This window comes from Homo sapiens, chromosome 7, assembly GCF_000001405.40.
Source record: "Homo sapiens chromosome 7, GRCh38.p14 Primary Assembly".
In the NCBI taxonomy this organism is placed as follows: domain Eukaryota; kingdom Metazoa; phylum Chordata; class Mammalia; order Primates; family Hominidae; genus Homo; species Homo sapiens.
Window position 1 is genome coordinate 50,711,036 of NC_000007.14, and position 22,476 is coordinate 50,733,511.

The following is a 22,476-nucleotide window of genomic DNA, read 5'->3' on the forward strand; positions in this document are numbered from 1 at the left end:
AACAAAGACCAATGCCACAGAGAGCAGAATGACAGGGATTCGAAATGTCTTCCACCTGGGAGAATGCCCGATCATAACCTACAGGCTTAACAGGGATCAACTTTAAACATTACAGGTATGCAAAAACAGCCAACCAAATTAAAAAAAAAAAAAAAGCAACAGATGAGAACAGTGGATGAGAACTGCTCCTGAGGGTGCAGTTAAAAGGGGCTCTCCCAGCCCTCCCCCACCCCCTGAAACCCTCTCCTGCAGCTACCCTCAGATTTTTGGTGCAAAGGAGAAGACGCAATCCTACACGACCCACCATCCGGGTCCCAGAGCTCCCTGGGGCCTTCCTGCAGGCAGTTTCCCAAACCCCTCCTGCCCAGCCAGGGACATCAGCTGAGACGGGTGGGGCACATTGCTGGAGTCCACCCAAGGGCGCTGAGTCTGCAGATGAACATGTGAACTGCAACAGGGATGGGGTTTGTCATTTCACACAGGATGCACTTAAAGAAGTAAAATGTTTCAAACCGCAAGTCTATTAAGCTATTGCAGCCGAGTGAAGAGTGACTACCTGTGTCACCTGCATTTTGAAAGCGGAGGCATCACCCAGCTCATCAGTTCCCTTCCAATGCCTGATACCCTCTCTACCAACTGCACATATGCCTGCTCTAGAACTCTGAACACACACAAGCCGTCAGATACAGTGTAGTTACAGATTTCACAACTACCCTCCCTCAGCCATGTAATTATACTTTTATTAAATATTAATGTAAAAATGGCAGGGTTTCTACTAATATTATAGTTCCTGGGTACCAGGTACGGTGCTAGACAGTTTACACACATTCCCACTTAAATCCTGTCTCTAATGGGTACTGTTGCTACCTCATCTTTACAGATGAGGAAAAAGGAGGACAGCAGCTTGCCCAGCGAATCACATCTCGTAAGCGTGGGTGTGAGACCCATTGGGGCTGAATCAGAGAACATGTCCTTAACAACCGAGCTATGGGTAACTACAAAATCTGTCACTCAGAGAATTCCTAAAACATGCAGAAACTCCACAAGGCTGAAAAAGGCTGAAAAAAAAAATCCTAAAACATTAGTGAACTTGGTAAAAGCTGCAGTATCAGCACTCCTATTCTGCCAGTTGCAAGGTGTACAAAACTAGTCCCTCAAATGGAAATAACCTTCATAATAAATGAGCCAGAGCCATTTTTCTCACCCAAAGTGACACTGCCTGTTTTGATATTACACTTTAGGTCTATGCAAGAGGAAAGGAAGCAAGAGGTTTTTAAGCAGAGATTTCAGTCAAACTGATCCTTAAACAAAAACAAGAGCTGCTTCCACCAAAAGCCTGAGATGGGGGAAAAAGAAAAGTCAGCAAGCCAGGTGTCTCGTATCAAGGAACAAGGGGGATGCTCTTTACTTACAATTGTATTCACACAGGCTGCTGAGGCCAACATGAAAATATCTGGGCAAGCCCTGGTCAGAGTACAAAAAAACTTTTCTCCCAAATGGTAAGAATGCCTGGCCTGGCAGGGAAAATACCACCACATAAAAAATGATCACATTTTCACTAAAATCATACGGCCTAAAAAACACACAGATCAGTGGCTTGTACTCCATATTCAGGCACTTATTTCCACATAACTACCTCCAAGTGCAGCCATTCTTGAATTAAAAGCAAAAGTAGTGCATGAGCTGCCTCACTTTAACCACCCACTCTGCAGTGTTCAGCACAGAAACATCAATTCTGGTTATTCACAAGGGGAGGAGTCTATCAATCATTTACATTTTAAACAGCTCTATTGAGATATAAATTACATAACATAAATTTCATCTGTTGGAAGTGTACAAACCAATGAATGTTAGTATAATTAAGGATCTGTACAACCATCACCACAATCTAATTTTAGAACATTTCCATCACCCTACAAAGAAACCTCCTGCCCAGAGCCTGTCAATCTTGACAAATGGTTTTCCCAAAATAAAATGCCTTTGCCAAGTCAGTTTTGTTCCTGTTTTTGCATCTGGTATTCCCACATCAATGAGGCATTTTGGCCGAAAGGGGGACAGCACTAGCTCTAGAATTTCTACAGAAGAGTAGCTACATGACCTTGGGGAAGACATTAAACCACCCTGTGTGAGTATAACCTCCAAGGACTATTGAAGATTTAGTGTGATCACACATGGAAAGCACGGCTCAGTAAATCTCAGCTGCTATTTTTACTACTGCCACTACTGCCCCTGCCTCCTCCTCCTCTGCGGTCACTACCTCCCCTCCCGACATTTCCACCAGCACTCCACCCCTTCCCACCACCTCCTTCCATCTCCATCACTTCTCCTGCCACATCAGCTCCTCCTCTACCTTCTCCACCTCCTCCACCGCCACCTCCATCTCCTCTACCACCCCCACCATCATTTCATTACCACCTCCATCATCACCTCCAGCACTTCAACCAACTCCTCTACCATCTCCACCATCTCCTCTACTATCTCCACCATCACCTCCACCTCCTCTGCTACCTCTATCACCTCCACCTCCTCCACCATCTCCATCCTCACCTCCACCTCCTCTACCATCTCCACCATCACCTCCACCTCCTCCACCATCACCTCCACCTCCCCCATCACCTCCACCTCCTCCACCACCACCTCCACCTCCTCCATTGTCACCTCCACCTCCTCCATCCTCACCTCCACCTCCTCTACTATCACATCACCTCCACCTCCTCCACCATCTCTATCCCTCACCTCCACCTCCTCCATCTCCTCTACCACCTCCACCATCACTTCCACCATCTCCACCATCACCTCCACCTCGTCCACTTCCTCTACCACCTCCACCCTCACCTCTAGCTCCTCCTCCTCCTCCACTACCTACCCCTTCATCACCACTTCCACCCATTCCATCACCTCTGCTCCTTCCCACCACCCTTCACCTCTTACATCTCCAACACCTCCATTGCTACCAACACATCCACCTCCACACTCTTCATTATCTCTATATCCTCCTCCCCCTCCACCACCACCTCTACCATCACCTCTACCTCTTCCTCCCCTACCTTCACCCCTCCTCACCACTTCCTCCATCCCCAACTTCAACAAAAAGGCAACTATTCAGACACCAAAATATCCACATGTATTAACATAATATTAATTTGTTAGAATAGTCAACATGTAGCAGTACCTTAATCGATCATGAGTTCTAGAGTAACTTAACAGTCTGAGAAATCAGAAGATCAGAATCTCTAAACTACCCACTTAATAATTTTGACAACACAATCTTTAAAGTACCACAAGAGGATCAGTGACAATGCAAGTTATAGTCAAATTATATTTATATACTTTAAATATAACTTGAGGCCAGGAGCAGTGGCTCATGCCTGTAATCCCAGCACTTTGGGAGGTCAAGGTATGCAGATCACGAGGTCAGGAGACTGAGACCATTCTGGCTAACACGGTGAAACCCCGTCTCTACTAAAAATACAAAAAATTAGACGGGTGTGGTGGCGGGCGCCTGTAGTCCCAGCTACTCAGGAGGCTAAGGCAGGGGAATGGCGTGAACCCAGGAGGCGGAGCTTGCAGTGAGCCGAGATTGCACCACTGCACTCCAGCCTGGGCTACATAGCGAGACTCTGTCTCAAAAAAAAAAACAAAAAACGGAGTGCAATCCTGAGCCCTCCTGAGCTCCCAGGTGGGGTGCACAAAGCCATTGCAATTGCACTGAACCCAACTTCTTCAGCTTCAAGCTTCTCGTTTTCTCTCTGGGTCCCACAACCCCAGCAACCTCTACACTAAAACCAGAGAACCAAACCATGTGCGGCTGTGAGAGTGATCAACAGAGCCAGGGTTGCCCTCCTAGCAGATCAGGGCCGTAGGAGGCACATGACACACCCACATTCTTCCCCCATGAGCAGAAGGAAGAGAGAAATCTCTTCCTTGAACTTTCTCAACAATAATCTCAGAATTTGGAAATAACTCTCATTGTCCTGGCTGACCAGGAAAAGGCCCCAGGGTTTGATATGATGAATCCTTGGTGGTGGCTTTTCCTCATTTCTAAGTCCCTCCCACAGGTAGAGGGCAGGGGGCCAAGGGTAAATGGCAGCCAATGCCAAGAAGCTGGAGGCGGAATGAGGTAAGCTAGGTCTGGCCTGGAGCTCCAGCCTGGGGCTCCCAGGTGTGGCAGCCCTTTGAAGGGCAGGCGCGATCTGGAGCAGGGAAGGGCATGGAGCAGCTTCCAGGTGCAAGCAGAAGGGCTGGGCTGGCAGGGCAAGAGGACGGCGGTTCATAGTGATGCTCCCCAGAGGCTTTGGATAAAGCTCGTTTTATTCATAAAAATGAATAAACAGCACAGATCCCAGGGCTCAGGAAACTCAATCCCTCTGCCAAAGAGTGACTTTTCCCAGTAAGACCAAACTCGGGCAGCCATTACAGCAGGAACAATTGGTGGATCCCAACCTTGCTGTGGGCCATAAGAAACAGTTCACCTCGCCCTTCAGGTATGAAAAATCTTATTGTGGCATGAGCCAAATGTTTACAAACTGCCAGTGTGACAAACTATGATTCTGAGCAAATAACTTCACTCTCTGGGCCTATTTCCTCACCAATAAAATCAGGTTTTTGGACCATATGACGTCTAAACTTCTTCTGAGTTCCAAAGCTGGGTCTGCACACTCCACAAAAATGTTCCAAAGCAAATCTACTCCTAGAACCACGGTTAAAATAATATCATGGGTGACTTCTGAGCTTCTGGCCAATATGGAATATAAAGGATTAGATGTACCCTCTCCCCCTAAATAACTAAAACTGAAACAGTTTTCATACATTTGACAACAGGCAGCATGGGACAGTGATTCCTGAGACATGATCCACATGACGCAGCCCTACTAGTGCCCACTCACTGGCTGGAGAGAGCTTCCAAGCTGCAGCGCAGGGAGGGGGAATCTCCCTTCCAGGCAGAGCCTAGGATCGTCCTAAGGAGACAGAGTTCAACACTCAGGAAGGTCAAGGCAGAGAGGAGAGCGCTCAAGAGAGGGGGCTCTCCACACACATCTCCAGCTGAGGATTAATGACGCATGCATGTAAGGAAAATACCAAGACTGGGAAGAACCACCAGAATGAAGGAGACAGAGCCATCTGGAGAGAAGCGTGTTCCCACCAACCCAAATGGAAAACTTCCTTACGCATGGGACACAAGACAGCCCTCAGAAGGGTCCTGCCTCAACAGTGGGGGCAAATTAGCCCCAAACTAAAAGTGACTCTGGGCCCAGCTAACAAAGCTTATAAGCCAGCCTCAAAAGGGTCAAACTATTTCCAAGAAGCTTCTTTCCAGAATAAAGCCCAAAATATTTAAAAGAATAGCCCCCTCCCAAGAAGTAGCCAACACCCAACCAGGTGAAATTTACAATGACTGGGATCGAAACAAAAAGTACCAGGCATGAAAAGAAAATAAAACCCATAACGATAAGGGAAATCAGCCAAGAGAAACGGATACAGAAATGTCCAAGATGAAACAGCAGGCGATATATTAAAATGATGAAGATAAATATGCTCTGTGCATTCAAGAAGGAAAAGCAAAGCATGAGTGATAAGGAGAGAAGTGGAAGATATAAAATGACCAAATCCAACCCTACAGATGAAAAATGCAACACAGGAGATGAAAAATATGTGGGCAGGATTAACCAGACATTGGACACCACGCTTCTCTCCCCTCCCTCCATCCCCAGTGACCAATCTCCAAAGACACACTGTGAGGCTCCCTCGCCCAACGGCTGGCGTGGTCTGGAGAGGTCTAGGGTAGGAGCACCCTATGAAGACATAGTAATAGAAACTATCCAGAATGGCACACAGAGAGAAAAGGAAGATGGAAAAGATTACGATAAACTACCTCCAAATGATGAGGCCAGATGAGGGGAGGGAGGAAGGAGCTCAGGTTTGGGGCCAGAGAAAATAAAGGCTGCAGCCAGCACTTTCTGCATTCCCGCTATTTGGCCGGGCTGGATAAGTCAACCAAAGTTTCTGAGCCTCACTTTTATTGTAGGCAAATTTGGATCATACCCATTTCAAAAAGTTTGGTAGGAAAACTGAGTGAGATGAGGTATACAAAGTCCTGTCACAAAACACATGCTAGCTCCCTTCTCAAACTCCAAGGAGACAGTCTCCCACTTTGTGGCAGCCTAACAACTGCAAGGGGGTATCAAGGACAGAAACACAGAAAGTCTTCACCATTCCTTCCACTCAGAGGTGAACCTACTCTTACGTACTTGAAAAGCAGTTATAAGCACAATAGTCTGGTTACTGCTCCAGCTTCAACAAACAGCAAGGGAGTCAGGGGCAACTGGGCTCCACCACAGGAAGCAGTTGCCAGGCCATGTGCTCCTAATGCTGCCACCGCAAGGAGAGACACTCACTCACATGAGAAGCTTGAAGAGTGTGTGTGTGTGTGTGCATGCGCATGCGTCACAGTCACATATATATGTATATATACATAAATATGAAATTTGAACCATGTGTGGAAACACAAGTAATACAAACTTAAAATGTACACAGATACAGGTAATCTACAGATATGACAACAGGCCCCTCCTTATCCACCACTGAAGCTACAAAACATTTCTTTACCTAAACACTTTCTCCCTAAGTTAGGAACCTCGTTCATTATCAGTAGATCTGAAGACAGCGTATCTTCTCCTGTGTCCATATTATCAACCAGGTGTTTAGATGGAAATTGCTTTTTAGCACCACTTAGCCAAGGCCTCATTCTCTGAAATGAGGTTCTTGGGGTCTCTGGACCCATTGAGGAGCGATGGTCAGATACACAGATCGGTTCACCCTGTGCTGGTACCAGCTCCTGAAGGGACCTACGAGACGCAACCACAAGGCCATGGCCATGCTTTGCTTGACCCCACTCCAGACTGCTCAACATGCAGCAGGCCCAGTTCTGATCCCCCCAGGCAGAGACTCCTCTGTCACTCCAGGGAGTCCAAAGGGCCCTGGGCGCCCAGCAAAGGGAGGAGGCCAGGGACTCAGTCGGCCCAGACAATTCCAGCCCACTGACTAAGTGCCAGGACAAAGAGGGGACAGGGGATTCCCAAGGCAAGATCCGGAGGCTTGCGGAACTGTGTCCAGCAGGAAGGAAGAAAGGGAAGGGGATCCAAGCTCCCTCAAATCAAGAAGCCCAGTGCCCAGTTCAAGGGAGAATTAACAGAGAGAGGGGAGGCCAGTTTGGGGAATGGGAAAATGAGTTTGGTTTGAAATGTCCTTCTTCTGAAATGCTGGCATTACCTTCACCTCCCTGAATGCCAGTCAGCCATCTGCATGGGTTAGTTACCCATGCAGAAATCAGTCAGCCTCCAACTCCTCCTTATCCACCTATGAACTGCTTACTGATCCTGATTATTTTGCCTTCTACATCCACTTCCACCCACACTTTCTTCTCACGGCCACTGCGGCGCCCTCGGCTCAGGCTGCTCACTGCTGCTTCCTGAGCACACTGACTGAGATCAGTGAGAGCTCACTCTCACACGAGGATCCCAGAGTATAGAACTCAGGGACTCTCCAGCCTGGGTCTTAAACCCGCACTCTACATCTAATATTTCAGTTTTTGAGGACCACAGATCTAACTTTACTCCAAAGTAATTTGTACATTAAGGGCAGGTTTCAAAAACACATTAACACCCAGTTCACCAGGAGCCCAACGTTAAGTCCCGTGCATACTGAAATTGTAACCGTCGAAACCCTGAGAGCAGAGGTTGCCATTCACAGCTCTCAGGGTCAAGAGCGCTTAAGCAGCAAGAGGGGTCCTGCAATTACTGTCCAATGTCTAAGCTTGTTGAACCCCTCAAAATCTTTACCCAAGGGTGACACAGTCATGGATAACCAATCACAGAGTTTCAGAGACTTGGAGTATCCAACCTCTTGGTCACCCAAGCAGAAGAAAAATATAGTCAATCTTCAGAGAGGCTGATCCATTCAACAAATATTTACCAAGCAATTACTCTATGCCCAGCACATGAGTGTTTAAAGCAACAATCCTGCCCTATGGAGTTTGTATTTTATCTAAAGAAAACAAGTAGTGAGCAATAAACACACCATTTACTTGTTATAATCTGAGAATGCAGTGCTATGGAATAAAAGAACAGAACAGAGCTGGATAAACGGGGCGGAGACTGCAATTTACACAGAACACAAGGGAAGGCCTCACTGAAAAGGGGTCCAAAAGTGAAGACTGCAAGGAGGAAGGGCCAGGCCCACAGGTGTCCTGTGACACCTACATGAAGGAGGAAAACAAGGCAAAAGAATATCACTGCAGGCAGAGACAGAAGGCCCTGCAAAGGGAATTCATCTTAAGAGTGACCATCCTTTGAAGCTGGAAGCCATCATTCTCAGCAAACTAACACAGGAACAGAAAACCAAACACTGCATGTTCTCACTCATAAGCGGCAGTTGAACAATGAGAACACGTGGACACAGGGAGGGGCACATCATACACTGGGGCCTGTCGGGGGTAGGGGGCGAGGGGAGGGAGAGCATTAGGACAAATACCTAATGCATGGGGGGCTTAAAAACCTAGATGATGGGTTGATAGGTGCAGCAAACCACCATGGCACATGTATACCTATGTAACAAACCTGCACGTTCTGCACATATATCCCAAAATTTAAAGTAAAATTTAAAAAATAAAAAAAAAGAGTAACCATCTTTAACAATTACACGGATGCCACTTTCTCCATGAAATAAATGCTACAACCAGCTCCTTACATTTCCACTACACTTTGGAATTTCCTACCAAGAATGACAAGTTTTGTTTTTCCTGTGAGTTTACTCCTTTTATAGGTTTTTTTTTTTCTTAAGTCATACTATCAAGTGATCAAATCCGAGTTCCTGCATGCTACGCAGGATCTCTGGCACCTAGAAATAGCTGGTGGAGACACATTCTTCTGCCCCCCACTCCAGCTGCTGGGAGCGGGGCTGAAATCCTTCACAGAACTTGAATGCCTCTCAACAAACACCAGAGAACCCCTAGCAGAGCTGCAGGCTGAAGCCCATCTTCAGATAAAGAAACACGGTTTCCTACCACTTTTCCAGAAACACTAACAAACACATCAACTAAGTCACAGAAAGTTCAGTAAGAGGAAAAACTAAATACAAGCTAAATATTTACTTTCTTCTTTAAGATCAATGATAGGAAAACCTCACAAAAGTTAAAAATAATGTTAATAATTCATATCACAGTCACTTCGAATACTTTGTTTCTAGTTAAGATGATAATAATAATAAATGTACCAGTAGCCAGTTTCGCAGAGTCTGCTTGAAACACACATAAATATTTAACAGGTTCTGGGGAAACTGCTAAAGTGACAGTATTGACTGCATGATGAAAACTGGATCGCAAACCCTACCTAAGTGACCCCCTTTGTCGAGACTCATAACCGGTGGCAGCAAACACAGGTGATGAGGCCCATCTGACACCAGGCGCCAAAAAGGCCCAGAGAGCAGAGGACAGGCACATCCCGGACGGGGAGCCCAGCACATATGGCAACACTTAAAACCCCAAGGAAAAATAACAGTGAAAGCAAGTCATCCCAACTAAACATGCATGGTACAGGAATATAAAAATATAATTTAAACATAGTTACCACCTTAAAAGACCAGACACTTCAATCAGAAAGTAAGTAAAGAAGCTTATGTTTAAATTACTCTGTATGCTTTTAATAAAAGGAATAATTTTAAGGTTCCTCTCTCTGCCAAAGTACACCATTAAAAAAAAAAAAAAAGTTGCCGTTTCCTAAATTTTCATCAATGTATTTACTGCTTGTTTAAAATAGCATTTTTCTCTGCCTGGCTGTCTAAAGCACGATATTATCCAATAGCTTTTCTCTTCTGCAACTGAGTGAGCAATCACAGAAGCTGCACGGCACCCAAATCCAGTGCAGGAAATTGTCGCAATAAATACCCTCTTCATCCAGGTGCCAGAAAGAAAAGAAAAGAAACGCCCTGCTTCATTGAAAAGTTTCATAAATTGTTAACATGAACACCACATACAGTATTTGCCATATTCAAACAATTTTAACACAGTAAAGGTACCCAAACACGAAACTATTTTAAACTTTCCTGGAGAATACAGTAGTCCCCCCCTTATCCTGGTTTTACTTTCTGCAGCTTCAGTTACCCACAGTCAACTGTGGTCCAAAAATATTAAATGGACAATTCCAGAAATAAATAATTCATCAGTTTCACACTGTGTGGAGGAGAGTGATGAGATCCTGCACCAACCCGCTTTGTCCTGCCCAGGATGCGACTCCTCCCTCTGCCCAGGATGCGACTCCAAGATCCACGCTGCAGGCGCTGCCTGCCCATGAGTCACAGAGGAGCCGTCGCAGTGATCATCAGATCAACTGCCGCGGATCACAGAGCTTGAATTCAAGTAGCCCTTACTATACTGAATAACAGCGCCAAAGTGAAGAGGAACAATGCTGGCCATTTGAGTATGCCAAAGAGAAGCAACTCATGACAAAGTGAGCCCACCCCACCTGCTACCACCTTCTTGCTCTGCTGGCCCAAGCCCCGGTCTGTTAGCTCTTGTCTCTGCCCCTCGTAGGGCTCTGCAGCTTGAGAATTAGGTGTTCTGACCTGGGCTGGGGACGGGGTCTCACCTCACCATGTCACCCATTCCCCACTGGGTAGGGGCCAAACAGAAGGGTGATAGGTCTCCACTCTGTCCTCAAGCAGAATCTGGGGTGGCTGAGGATGGGGGAGGACAGACGACAGCATAAGGAGGGGTCAGGCAGAGGGAGGCCCAGGACTGGCTGCAGGAATGCAAGAGAAGGCTCCATGGGGGTGTGGCAGGGACTGCTGTGGGAAGGGAAGGTGTCTGGGCTGAAGTCCAGGGAAATGGCCCAGGCCAAGAAACGGAAGAAGAAGACAGCGCGTGGAGCGGGGAGAAGGGAGCAGAGCAGTTCAGTATTACTGGTGGCAAAGGAGAGCCCAGGCTGCTGGTAGGGAGGATCAGGCCAAAGACAGGCTGAGGAGGCTGGCCCGGTCACTATGCTACCTCCTATGCCCTCCTCTCCTGTCTCTCCTGCACCCCAGAGGCAGGGTGTACCACGGGCCCAGTAGCTCCCAGCTTCCCAGGCTGTCCCCCACCAGCTGAGCCCCGAACCCTTAACCTGCACCACGCCACAGCCCCTCTGCCCTGCCCACTCTCATGCCCACTCAGGAGGCCAAGGACTGGCCATAAACTTACGTTCAAGGACTTCCTGCAAGGGTCATTCCAAGATCCAAAGCGGCTTCCTAAGGTGATAGAAAGGTCCCCTGGAAGGCCCCAGGGTAACCCCGCCTGGCACCAAAGAAGTGTCAGGGCAAAGATGTTGGATGGCACAGACAGAGCAGCTCTGAGAGCATCTGTAGTCCCATGAGCTTGCAGCAAGGTGGGAAATTCCATGTGTTCGAAGATTTCAAAGCCACAGAAAGCACATTCCCATCTGCCAGGAGAACATAGTTGATGGGGGCACATGGGCAGCAACAGCTTCAAAGCCCTGTGACAAGCACTCAAGAAAGGGGAGTCCAGGGTGAAGAGGTGACAGAACCAGTGATGCGAGCCAGGGTGACAGGGCCCAGAGTGACCGGATGATGGGGGATGGACTATGGGGGAGAATGCCAGGGTGACAAGGTGACAGAGTGATGAGGTGGGGTGACAGGGTACCGCCCCCTCTCCTTCCCCGACATTACTTATACCTGGCCTCCAAACACACAGCTTGTTCTCCATAAAGCCTCTCCTCAGAAGCTGCCCTCAATGTCCTCCTTGGGTAGGGTTATTTTTAATCCCATTTCACCCACCTTAGGTAAAGATAGCGCTCTCAGGATTAAGTTGTTTCTCTAGATGCCCTGGCACTCACCCCTCATACTGCACAAGCTACAAAGGCCACATTTACGCCTTAGAAAGCTGAAAAATCCATATAAGTACCCTGCAAATGCCAAGAACCTGACCTCAAAGACCAATTTAATTGGAATTAACACCTTCACAATGTCGAAAAATAAAATACATTTATATAAAATTTACTTTTCTTTTAGTGAAGTTCTGAAGGGACAAGTAAAGCAAAATATAACCTTATAGCTATTTTTTCACAATACCAAGTAGCTTTTTTTTCTTTAAAAAAAGAGAAAAGTTGCAGTGAAGCAATGATGTCCTTGGCAGTGAAGGACTCAAATTCCAACTCTGTGTCCACAGACAGAGGGGTCAGGTGTTTCCTTATTTAGAGTCATTAAACAACAGGTACAATTCTCCTTCCTCTATTACTTGGGTACATCCTTTAAGCCCCGGCTATGTCTTACACACTTCTGTATTCCCAGAATGGGCAACCACAAAGAAACTGCCAATCATTTCCTCATTGTCCAAAGAACGAAATGTTCTAATGTTGTTTGGTCCCATCTTACAAATTAGCTGGGTTTCAGCTGAGGTCTGGAAATGAAGGATGAACCCCTCAGCCAGTACCCCAGAGCCTGCTAAACCAGAGTCTGGGGGCAAAGGAAGACGATGAAGGGTTTTTAGCGATCCAGCCCCTTGGATCCCAGGAGCAAAGGCCCTGTTCAGGGTTCCAGCGAAGTGCCCCTGGTCAACTGGGATTTCCTAAGGCCCCACTAGTTGGGTGGTCCCTGGAGGCTCTCATTTCATAACAGTGCAGGTATAACTGTCAGCCTCACACGCCTGAAGCGGTACTGGGATTCAAACCTGGGGCCTGCATGCCTCCTGGGCTGGCTCACCTCCCGCTGGCCACATGACCCTCCAAAACGGTGTAGACTCTTGATGGAGAAAAGACTAGAACAGCTGCTCAAGGCAAACAGACATAGGAAGGTGGGAGGTAGGTCACACTGAGAGCTACAGAGGGACCCACAGGCACCCTCCAACCTTCACGCCCTAGTGCAGTGGCAAGGAGCTGGTTAAGGACGGTTAGCAAAAGCACAGCGGAGTCACATCAGGCCTATAGGGAAGAGTGGACAACACAGTGGGAGGGCACAGATGCTGTCCCCCATGATCCGCCACTGGCTGGAGGCAGTGGACTCGCACGTTCCAGCAGCGCCTGAGGAAATCTCACCATGCACAAATGACACACCAAGGCCACAATGGGTCATAAACGCAAAGCTTCAACTTTGCAAACTGGAGCTGCCAAGGACAGAAAAACCACAGGCATGACTGTGATATCCTGAGATAGCCAAGACTAGTGCTTCAGGAGCCACCTGCGGGGAAGAAGCAGTTTTTGCTGTCCCTGTCAACCTGTCAAGCACGGATACTTCACAACTCACATAGCAATGAATTGCCAGAAAGTAAAATAAAACAAAAATACGATACACACCCACATTTTTATTCTTAAGTTCAACATTCAAATTGCTATAAAATCTCTAAACACATTTTCTCAATGTCTCTACTTATCATGAACTGGAAATAAACACGACCTGGGACACAGCAGTGGGTGCATGAAGAGACCTTCCTTCAAAAAAGTCAACATTGTGCTACAATGAGGGATGGGAGGATGGGTCCTGAAGGGAGAGCGTGAGCCGCCCAGCTCTGAGCTGGTCAGTCTCATCTGAAGTGTTGATTAGTTCTGGTCCTTCCCCTTGAAGAGGGCTAGGCAAGACAGGAGAAAGGAAACAGGAAAAAGTGCCACAAACCCCGACAAAGGAAGGATGCCTGAAGGAGCTGGGGGCTGGCTGGGTAATGACACATAACTTCAAACGCAGAGAGACGGAAGTGATTTGCTCTGCGTTACTGACAAGGCCAGAAGGGAGCACAGTCAATGTTACAGGAGGCCCATCTTCTGACCACAGATAAACAGCCTGTCCCTGAGGGTCATGAGTTCCCTTCCCTTTGGTAATCAAGTAATATGACTCTGTGCAAAGAAAACAGTTGAATCAAGGATTCATGCTCCAACCAGGTACGCCATGATGCCTTTCCAAGTCTGCGTGCGCTTGATACTGCCATCTCTCCTGGAAAAACACTCCCGGCAAGGTAGCTGTGCCTGCTGCCTGCTCTGCTGGTTACCTGCCTGCTGCCTGCCCTACCTGCTGTAATGGCGACTGATATGGTTTGCATTTGTATCCCCGCCCAAAATCTCATGTCCATCCCCAAGGTTGGAGGAGGAGCCTGGTGGTAGGTGACGGGATCACAGGGGCAGATGTCCCCCTTGCTATTCTCATGACAGTAAGTTGCCACGAGACCTGGTTGTTGGAAAGTGTGTAGCACCTCCCCTTTTGTGCTCTTTTCCTCCTGCTCCAGCCACGTAAGACTTGCCAGCTTCCCCTTTGCTTCTGCCATGATTTTAAGTTTCCTGAGGCCTTCCAGCCATGCTTCCTGTACAGGCTGCGGAACTATGAGTCAATTAAACCTCATTTCTTTATAAATTACCCAGTCCCAGGCAGTTCTTTATAAGCGGTGTGAGTGTGGACGAATACAGTGACACACACACAGCAGGTAAGTTTTGGTTTTTGTAGGTCTAGTAGAAACTTTGACACTTTACAACAGAAAAGGCAACCATCTGGTCTCATAAGTAAAACAAAAACAAAGACTTTGATAAGTGATTTCACAGTAGCTTCTGGGCAGATAGATGGCAAAGGGAAAGTTGATTACTAACATTGAACTTTCATGGGATGGAAAATTAAAAGAACACAAATATTTCTGTGGGGATTTAACCCCCATGATAAGTAGGAGGAAAACAGAAGTGGGATATAGGTATCCCTGATTAGATATGTCCTTCTAAAAGGCAGTGCAAAGTCATAGACCAATATTGTGTTCTGCTCCTCCACTGCTTATGAAATCTTATGAAAAAGATAATCAACTCTAGCACCCCCAATCAAATAGATATCTGCACAGCCAAGCACACGGTGCCAAGGAAAAACCAGACAGTGGAATGGTTAAGGACATAGGCTTCAGGCTTGACCCCGTACGCCTGATCCCTGATCTATCCCATTACAAGCTGTGTGACCTTGGGCAACTTACCAATATCTGCAAGCCCTGGTTTCCTGGAAAAAAGAAATAGAAAAAATAACACATCCAGAATATTTGCCACAGTACCAGAGAGAGGATAAAAATAACACAGGCTGGGTGCAGTGGCTCACCCCTATCTATAATCCCAGACCTTTGGGAGGCAGAGATGGGCAGACTACTTGAGACCAGAAGTTCAAGACCAGCCTGGCCAACATGGCGAAACCCCATCTCTGCTAAAAATACAAAAATTAGCCAGGTGTGATGGTGCATGCCTATAATTCCAGGTACTCGGGAGGCTGAGGCAGGACAATCGCTTGAACCCGGGAGGTGGGGGTTGCAGTGAGCTGAGATTGGGCCACTGCATTCCAGCCTAGGTGACAGAGTGAGACTCTGTCTCAAAAAAAACAAAAAACAAAAATAATACATAGAAAATATGTGATAAATATAGTTGTTTATATTATTCAAAAAAAATCAGACTTTAAGCCCATACTTGAGGATGATGATGTTTGAGAAGATTTAGGCATTAAAAAGAAAAGCACTGAGAATAAATATATACATATTTATGTATTTTTATTTCCATTTATTTACTTATCTGTCATATTTCATTGATTTTAAGACATGCCCCACTCCCCATTTTAACATTTTAAAAATGCAAACACCTTACGATCAGCACACATGACACATTTAGGGACAATACATAATAATCTTTATTTCAACTGAAAAGCTGTTGTTAAAACTGACTTATGGCATTTCATGATCAAAGAAATTCAATAAGTCCAAAATTGCAGGATACAAATTCTATGTTTTATTATAATAATTCTGAGGAGGAGATTTTGGCATTTGGACAAAAACTTGTTCTCCTCAGTCTCACCAACATTAAACATAAACACACTTCACAGAGACGAATGTACCTCTGTTACTCAGTAGGAGAGATGGTCTTTTTCTGCTTTGATAATCTCATCTGCAAAGGGGAGAACATGAAGGTCCCCACCGCGTAGCATTGGCAGGAGAGAAAATCCAAGTAAAGTCCTCAGCATGATGACCAGCATATAGTAAAAACCTCAGTTTTCTCATTTATAAAATGGGTATCATGAAGGTACCCAATTCACAGAGTCGGTGGAAGGCTGAAGACAAGGGAAGTAAACAGGAAGAGCTTAATCTTTTCCCCACTGCCAGCCTCTGAGTGGTCAGCTTGCAGGCTGTCGAATATGTTAGTTTTACAGTTCTAGCAGGAAATGACATGGGATGGGGGATTAATCACCCTCCCCTCTACTTGTCTGCACAAAGCACACCACTGACAGCATCCCAGGTCATGGTGGCCCATGGTTGGTTGTTGTACCTGTCTGTCTCCCTCCAGGGCTGGGAGCTCCCTGCAGGCAGGGTTGACATCTTGTTCACCTGGTACCCTAATACCCAGCCATGGTCTGCCAATCAACTGTTCATAAAATGGTAAGCGAACAAACAAATTAGTCAAAGTTACTTAGAACATTTAAAGAATAGAGTTTTCAACTGATTCTGTTAGTTACAGAAAGTGTAAACTATTTACTAATATGTAATTAACTACCTAGGATTTAAATAAATAAAGCCAGTTAACAGCAATTTGCCAGATCAATGAAAAGTATTTTCCCAAACCAAATGCCATCTATTTGTTTTAAGTGAATATTCACATGATTTTAAAGACTTAAAAAGATTATAATCTCAAATTTACATAAGTATCGCACAAATCACTTAAAAAAAAAAAACTTACATTCTTAAAAATAATTCTACACTCTAAAACAAAAAAATCACATACCAGCTCATCCAAACAGTGGCTCACATTTAACAGGGTCTTTTGTGTGCTAAACACAATGCCAAAGTTTATATAAGTGTCTTCCAATTTTCACAATGACGCTGAAAACAGAAGAAATGTGGAGAATTTAAACACCATGCCTAAAGCCATGCAGGTGAATAGTAGTCAACACACTGCCTGTTTTACCTCACAAAATATCTCCATAACATAGCTGCTGTTCCTAAGTTCAGAATCATAACCTTAAATGACTTGGAAAACCATTTTAGGTAAATGTCCTATCAGCTGGAACAGTCAAATAAAATTTAAAGAGAGACATTTCAAATGATCTTCGTAACTTCCCACCTCAAGGGTTAAGAGTGGCAGGTACTATCAACAAATTTCTTAAAGAAAATGTAGTCTAATAAAATGTTCTTTAGCCAAAGTATGGGGGGGGGGTGTAGTACTTAAAAATGAAAAACTACAGAATCACTCTTTCACTAAAAATAATAATAATAATAACAACAGTGACAGACTTTGGGAATGGAATTCATTTCCAGGAACTGAGCCCAAATCAACTCTCGGAGATGATGTCATCTTTCAGCTCCTCCACGCACTGCCAAAAGATTAAGGAATCTAGGGCACCCAACAGAAAATCCAAAGCTGTATGTGATCAGCAGATGAAGTCTCATCTGAGGACTGTTTCTAACCCAGAAAATGGGGAGGAGATGAGCTGATACAAGGAGGCCCCCTTGAGCCTCTGTCCATCCAAAAAGGTTCATTCTAGCAGTCAGTGTCCCAGAAAAAACTTTCTTCTGTAAAGGGTCAAACACTACCCAACTCTGCTGATGGGGCTTGGAAGCAGCCACAGACAATACAAAACCCAATGGCCAAGTTCCAATAAAACTTTAATTTTATTTTTTGAGACCGGGTCTTGCTCTGTCGCCCAGGCTGGAATGCAGTGGCACGATCTTGGCTCACTGCAACCTCCACCTCCTGGGTTCAAGCAATTCTCCTGCCTCAGCTTCCTGAGTAGCTGGGATAACAGGTGTGCGCCACCACGCCTGACTAATTTTTGTATTTTCAATAGAGACAGGGTATCCCCATGTTGGCCAAGCTGGTCTCGAACTCCTGGCCTCAAGTGGTCCACCCGCCTCTGCCTCCCAAAGTGCTGGGATTACAGGCGTGAGCCACCAAGACCAGCCTCCAATAAAACTTTATCTGCAAAAGCAGATTGCAGTTCGTCAAGCCCTGCACTAGAAGAGTAGGTTCCCCGCCTGAAGCTTCAGGGACACAGCACTGAAATGGAACCACAACACACATCTTGTGGTGTCCTGGGGCTGGACAGCGTGTATGTGCACTAATGCTGTTGCCATTATCTCCACCAAAAGCTGAGGCTCTGCAGGGCAGGATGGCAAGGAGAGTTTCTAAGATGGCTCATTTCTAAGCATGATTGTTTTTAATTCAGAAATCAGAAAACTATGAAAATAAAAACATTGCTTTTGGAAATTCAACAGTAAATTTAATCACCTACATAAAATTCACATGCAAGTTGTTTCATTTCTAATGCTCAGTTCAACATTGTGTACGGAAGTTTGTAGCCAAGCACATTTTATTTCCTATTTTGCATTTTTCTGAAAGATAATAAATGTTGCTTTTATTTACCATAATTTTGTCATAGGTGCATAATTCCTTCTTCAAAAGCCTGGAGGCTGGACATGGTTAAGAATTAAGAGTTTTGGGGAATGGAGAATGATAACACAGTGTCCACATCAATGAACACAGATGTGCAGGGCCCAGAGGGAGCTCCATAAACCCCATCCCACTTCCCAGGCAGACCCTGTGTTCGGCAAAGCTCTGGACTCTGCCGTGGCATAATAAATGAGGAAATTTCTTGCTTCAGACCTTTTGATTTTAAAAATGGCAGACAATGAGCTATAGGACCCTACTAACGGAGCCCCCCCCGAAGACCAAGGCAGCCGGCCCTCTCTCCCCCCGTTGTCCCATTTTATTTGCTTCAGAATTAGTATCATTATTCACAGCTATCTCACTTGCCAGTTGTTCCATGTCTGTCTCCTCCACTGGAATCCAGGAGCCCCAAAGATCTGTCTGCCGAGCTCAAAGCTGGCTCCCTAGCCCAAAACATGTGCCTGGTACCTGGCTGGTGCTCTATCAAAGAATTAAAGATCACAGCCCTTGACTCAGCTTCTAAAGGATGACCAGGCGCCGGGTAATTTAGACATATTTCCTCTAATCCCTGCTACAACCCAGATACCACTAACCCTTTTCTACCAAAACTTCGGTATGGAAACTGCGGTAGGGAAAGTTGCAGGATTTCTCCAAGGTCAGAGAATTATGATGTGTCACATTCTAAAGGAAAAACTTAAGTCTTAAAAGTGAAGTGGGTCATCCCCAACCTTGCCAGAACCCCTCCCCAACTGCTGCCCTCCAACAGCAGGATGATTAAATGCATACAGTAATTTTGGTGCTTCTGTGCATATTTTAAAAATCACATCAGTGACTCACGGACTGAACCATCTATCTAATCCAAGCCACTGCTGCAAGTGAACAGCTAGAATTAGAAAATTATTTGTATGTTGAAGGTTTTAAGAATAAATTTTTCTCTATAAAACTCTGGAGATTTATCTAATTATTATAATATAATTACGACTGCTCAAGACTGGAACCCATTGTAAATCATCCCATATTCTGAGAAATTCTGGAACTGTCATCTTATTTTCCAGGAACAAGGGACATATGCCGCCAAGTCTTGCTGTCAAATTTTTTAAAGAGTAAGACAGTGCTTTCAAATGGCCCTGAGAAGCAATGAGTATTTCCTCAAAGCATGACAGCACATAGCAGGGAAAGCCCACCCTTCCTTCCTGACTTCCTGGCTCCAGGAAAGCAGCCTGGGGCATCGGTGACTACAAACACCTAACAAGGCCATCAAGGGAGGAACTGACACAGCTTGTAAGTCTGCCACTTCTGTAGGTACCAGCAGGAAACTGGAAATGCCAGGAAGGGAAGGGAAGCTGACAGAACCTCTGTGGCCATTATCTGGCCCTAAAAGCCTATTCTATACCCAGCCGAGGACAGCACTACGAAAATGACCTCAAGAGAGACTTTCCCTTGGGGATGTTCTTTGAGCTCACTGACTGCACTCTCTTGGGACTGAGTAGGAAGTGGCAGGCAGGGGTGAAGGGTGCAGTCGGGCCCGGACAACTAGCTAACACTAACTGGCCACACGAGAACTGGACTTGTGACCTGTGGGTGCAGCACAGAGCTTTAATCAATGGGGGGAGGCAACCACAGCCTCTTTAAGAACAAGAAGACAATTATGCAGAGGGAGAGGCAGATGCCTGTTCCAGAGCTCACAAACTACACAGACTCAGGGGTCACCACCAAACTTTGCAGTTCGCTAAGGTTTTAATCCTCTTTTCTGGCTTGTAACCAATTTTGGCTTTGTGTCACATTCGACGATTAGAATGAACGGTATTCCTAATCTTCAGCCTTTCTTCGAAGGCTTGCTTCACTTAGATACCAAAAAAAAAAAAAAAATGTTCAAAGGCATCTTTTTGCAGCCATAATGCTGTAGGCAATTTCTCATCACAGTAGCTAAAAAGAGACTTCACAGACTAAGAGAGAAAATAAGTTCAAAGAAGTGCAAAAAGCTGACCACAGCCTGAACATATAAAAGGACTTCCAAACCTAGGACTGCTCCAGCCGAAAAGTCACAGGCCTGGGAGAGATGGTGTAAGTACTTCCAATGACAAATCACGAGTAAGGATGAACCAGGATTCGCGAATCAAATCTAAAGAACCAAAGACCATCCCCTAACAATGAATCTGTCTACACCAAGTGAAAGTTCAAATAAAATCTGTTTCAGAAGATGAAGGGAACTTGCAGATGAAACTGTTCTAGCAGCCCATGAAGAAGAGCTAGAGAAAGTGAAGGAACAGAAATGAACTTGTTCTCCCACAAAATTCCACCTAGGGCTCTCAGGAAAGGAAAGAGCCAATCTGTGGAGAGGACTCCCTCTAGAACATCTGTTAAGACACCAAGCCCTTTCTCCTTCCCACTCCCTCACGCGTGAGCACATGTGTCCAGGTGAATGTCCCGACAACCACCATCACTGCAGAACCCGTCATCAGGAGTGTCTGGCCCGACCCAGAAGGTGAAAAACACAGTGAGTGCTTGCTTCATTCCAAACACGGAAGCCCGGCTCTCAGGGGGCAACTCTGTACTACAACCAAACTCTTTTAGAAAAGTACGCACAGTCAAACGGGAATATGACCACGCTATCTTACAAGGCAAAGCAAGACACAGAAGACCGAGGCAGAAAGGGCAGTGGGCCTCTGCACCATGGGACTTGTCACCAGCCCCTGCTCCAGCGTGTCCTAGTGACCTGAGAGCTACAGAAACGATCCATGGCTGCTGGCGACATGTGTGCCCTGGCCCTCGACCAGCACCATCGGGCCAGGATCAGATATATGTGCTCGCCCATACCTGGTAGTACGGATGGTGCAAAAAGGAATCTGGGCAGCCGGCTAAAGCCATGGGTTCCTTCTGCCTTCTTCAAATTACATTTACTGCGCTGCAGCACCTGGAATAAAGACAGACTGTGAGAAGCCAAGCCAGAAAAAAAAAAAAAAATCCACTACTTATGGCTGGTTCAAGTGTGACATGTCTGAATGGGCAGCTCTTGGTCTTAGCTTGTAGGTTCAGTAAGGACACTTGCTCGGGGCACCAGCTTTTTGCTGACATGCAGAGATGGTCCCCAACTATGGTGCCCTGAGAGGTCATCTGTGAGGTCAAAAGTCTGTGGGGTAGAAGGGTGCCCAGAGTGGTGAGGGTGACATCAGACCCTCTAAATTTAACTCACACATTCCCAGCACTCTCCTGCACTGCCTCACCCTTCTTCCCTATACCATCTATTAACACCCTGCAAACTTCATCAAGCTTTCGCAAATAGGGATTCAGACAAATTCCAAAGAAGCCCAGAAGGGGTTGTGTGTGTGTGTTTGGGGACAGGACCACAGAACATCATTTGAGTGAACACTAGCTCCACAAGCCATAGAACAAATCGGAATTCTCAGTGGACATCCAACCTGACAAACTCATTACATACTCTCCCCTGTGGGCCACGGCACCTAGTACCGAATAAAATGAGGGATATTAATTCTAACAATCAGAATAACAACAACAAAAATCAAGACAAGACCCTGTTATGGGATGAACTGTATCCTCCCAAAGTTCCTAAGCTGCAGCCCTAACTCCTAGTACCTCAGAATGTGACTGTATTTGGAAGGAGGGTCTTTAAACACGTCACTAAGTTAAAATGAGATGATGAGGGTGGGCCCTAATCCAATACAAGCGGTGTTTTTGTAAGAAGAGAATATTAGAACACAGACTTGTACAGAGAGAAGACCATGTCAGGACACCTTGAGAAAATGAACATCTGCAAGCCAAGGAGAGAGGCCTCAGGAGAAACCAAATCGGCCGATACCTTTGATCATGGACTTCCAATATCCAGACTGCGGGAAATGGATTTCTGCTATTTAAGTCCCCTCGCCCCCTCCCCAGTCTGTGGCACTTTGTTATGACAGCCTTACTAAACTAACACAGACCCAAAATATAAAATCACTAGGGAATTCTCATCACAGCTAAAAGGAACAGAAGCATCCCAGATCTGTAAAATTTACTACCAACCATGTTTTCTGCAAGAGTTTCTCTAGAATCCCTCAAA

At 45.8% G+C, this 22,476-nt stretch overlaps 1 protein-coding gene across 39 annotated transcripts in view, besides 2 other annotated features; it reads right to left on the reverse strand.

Moving 5' to 3' along the window:
* GRB10 (growth factor receptor bound protein 10) overlaps positions 1-22,476 on the reverse strand; it is a 203,386-nt gene that overhangs the window by 120,968 nt on the left and 59,942 nt on the right. For 5 of the 39 annotated variants that reach the window (NM_001371008.1, XM_047420241.1, XM_017012034.2 and 2 more), the window contains one exon: positions 21,237-21,333. The exons of 20 other annotated variants lie outside the window; for them this stretch is intronic. Coding sequence is in view for 5 of the 19 variants with exons in the window: in XM_047420241.1 (XP_047276197.1) it covers positions 21,237-21,287 (51 nt within the window). In the remaining 14 variants the exon portion in view is untranslated. Of the gene's footprint in view, positions 1-14,977; positions 15,001-15,876; positions 16,401-16,757; positions 16,856-21,236; positions 21,334-22,476 lie in introns of those variants that run through there. 14 more of the 39 variants (XM_047420248.1, XM_047420246.1, XM_047420235.1 and 11 more) reach the window with 9 other exon arrangements.
* Positions 4,175-4,690: an enhancer, noted in NCBI's record as "H3K4me1 hESC enhancer chr7:50782907-50783422 (GRCh37/hg19 assembly coordinates)". NCBI's record gives its function as "activates a minimal SCP1, AML or CMV promoter by ChIP-STARR-seq in primed H9 embryonic stem cells {active_cell/tissue: H9 hESC(primed)}" and the evidence as "EXISTENCE:reporter gene assay evidence [ECO:0000049][PMID:30033119]".
* Positions 15,304-15,473: an enhancer, noted in NCBI's record as "experimental_99483 CRE fragment used in MPRA reporter constructs". NCBI's record gives its function as "activates a minimal promoter by MPRAs in K562 erythroleukemia cells, with activity observed for both the introgressed and non-introgressed 7:50794121 variant alleles {active_cell/tissue: K562}" and the evidence as "EXISTENCE:reporter gene assay evidence [ECO:0000049][PMID:34662402]".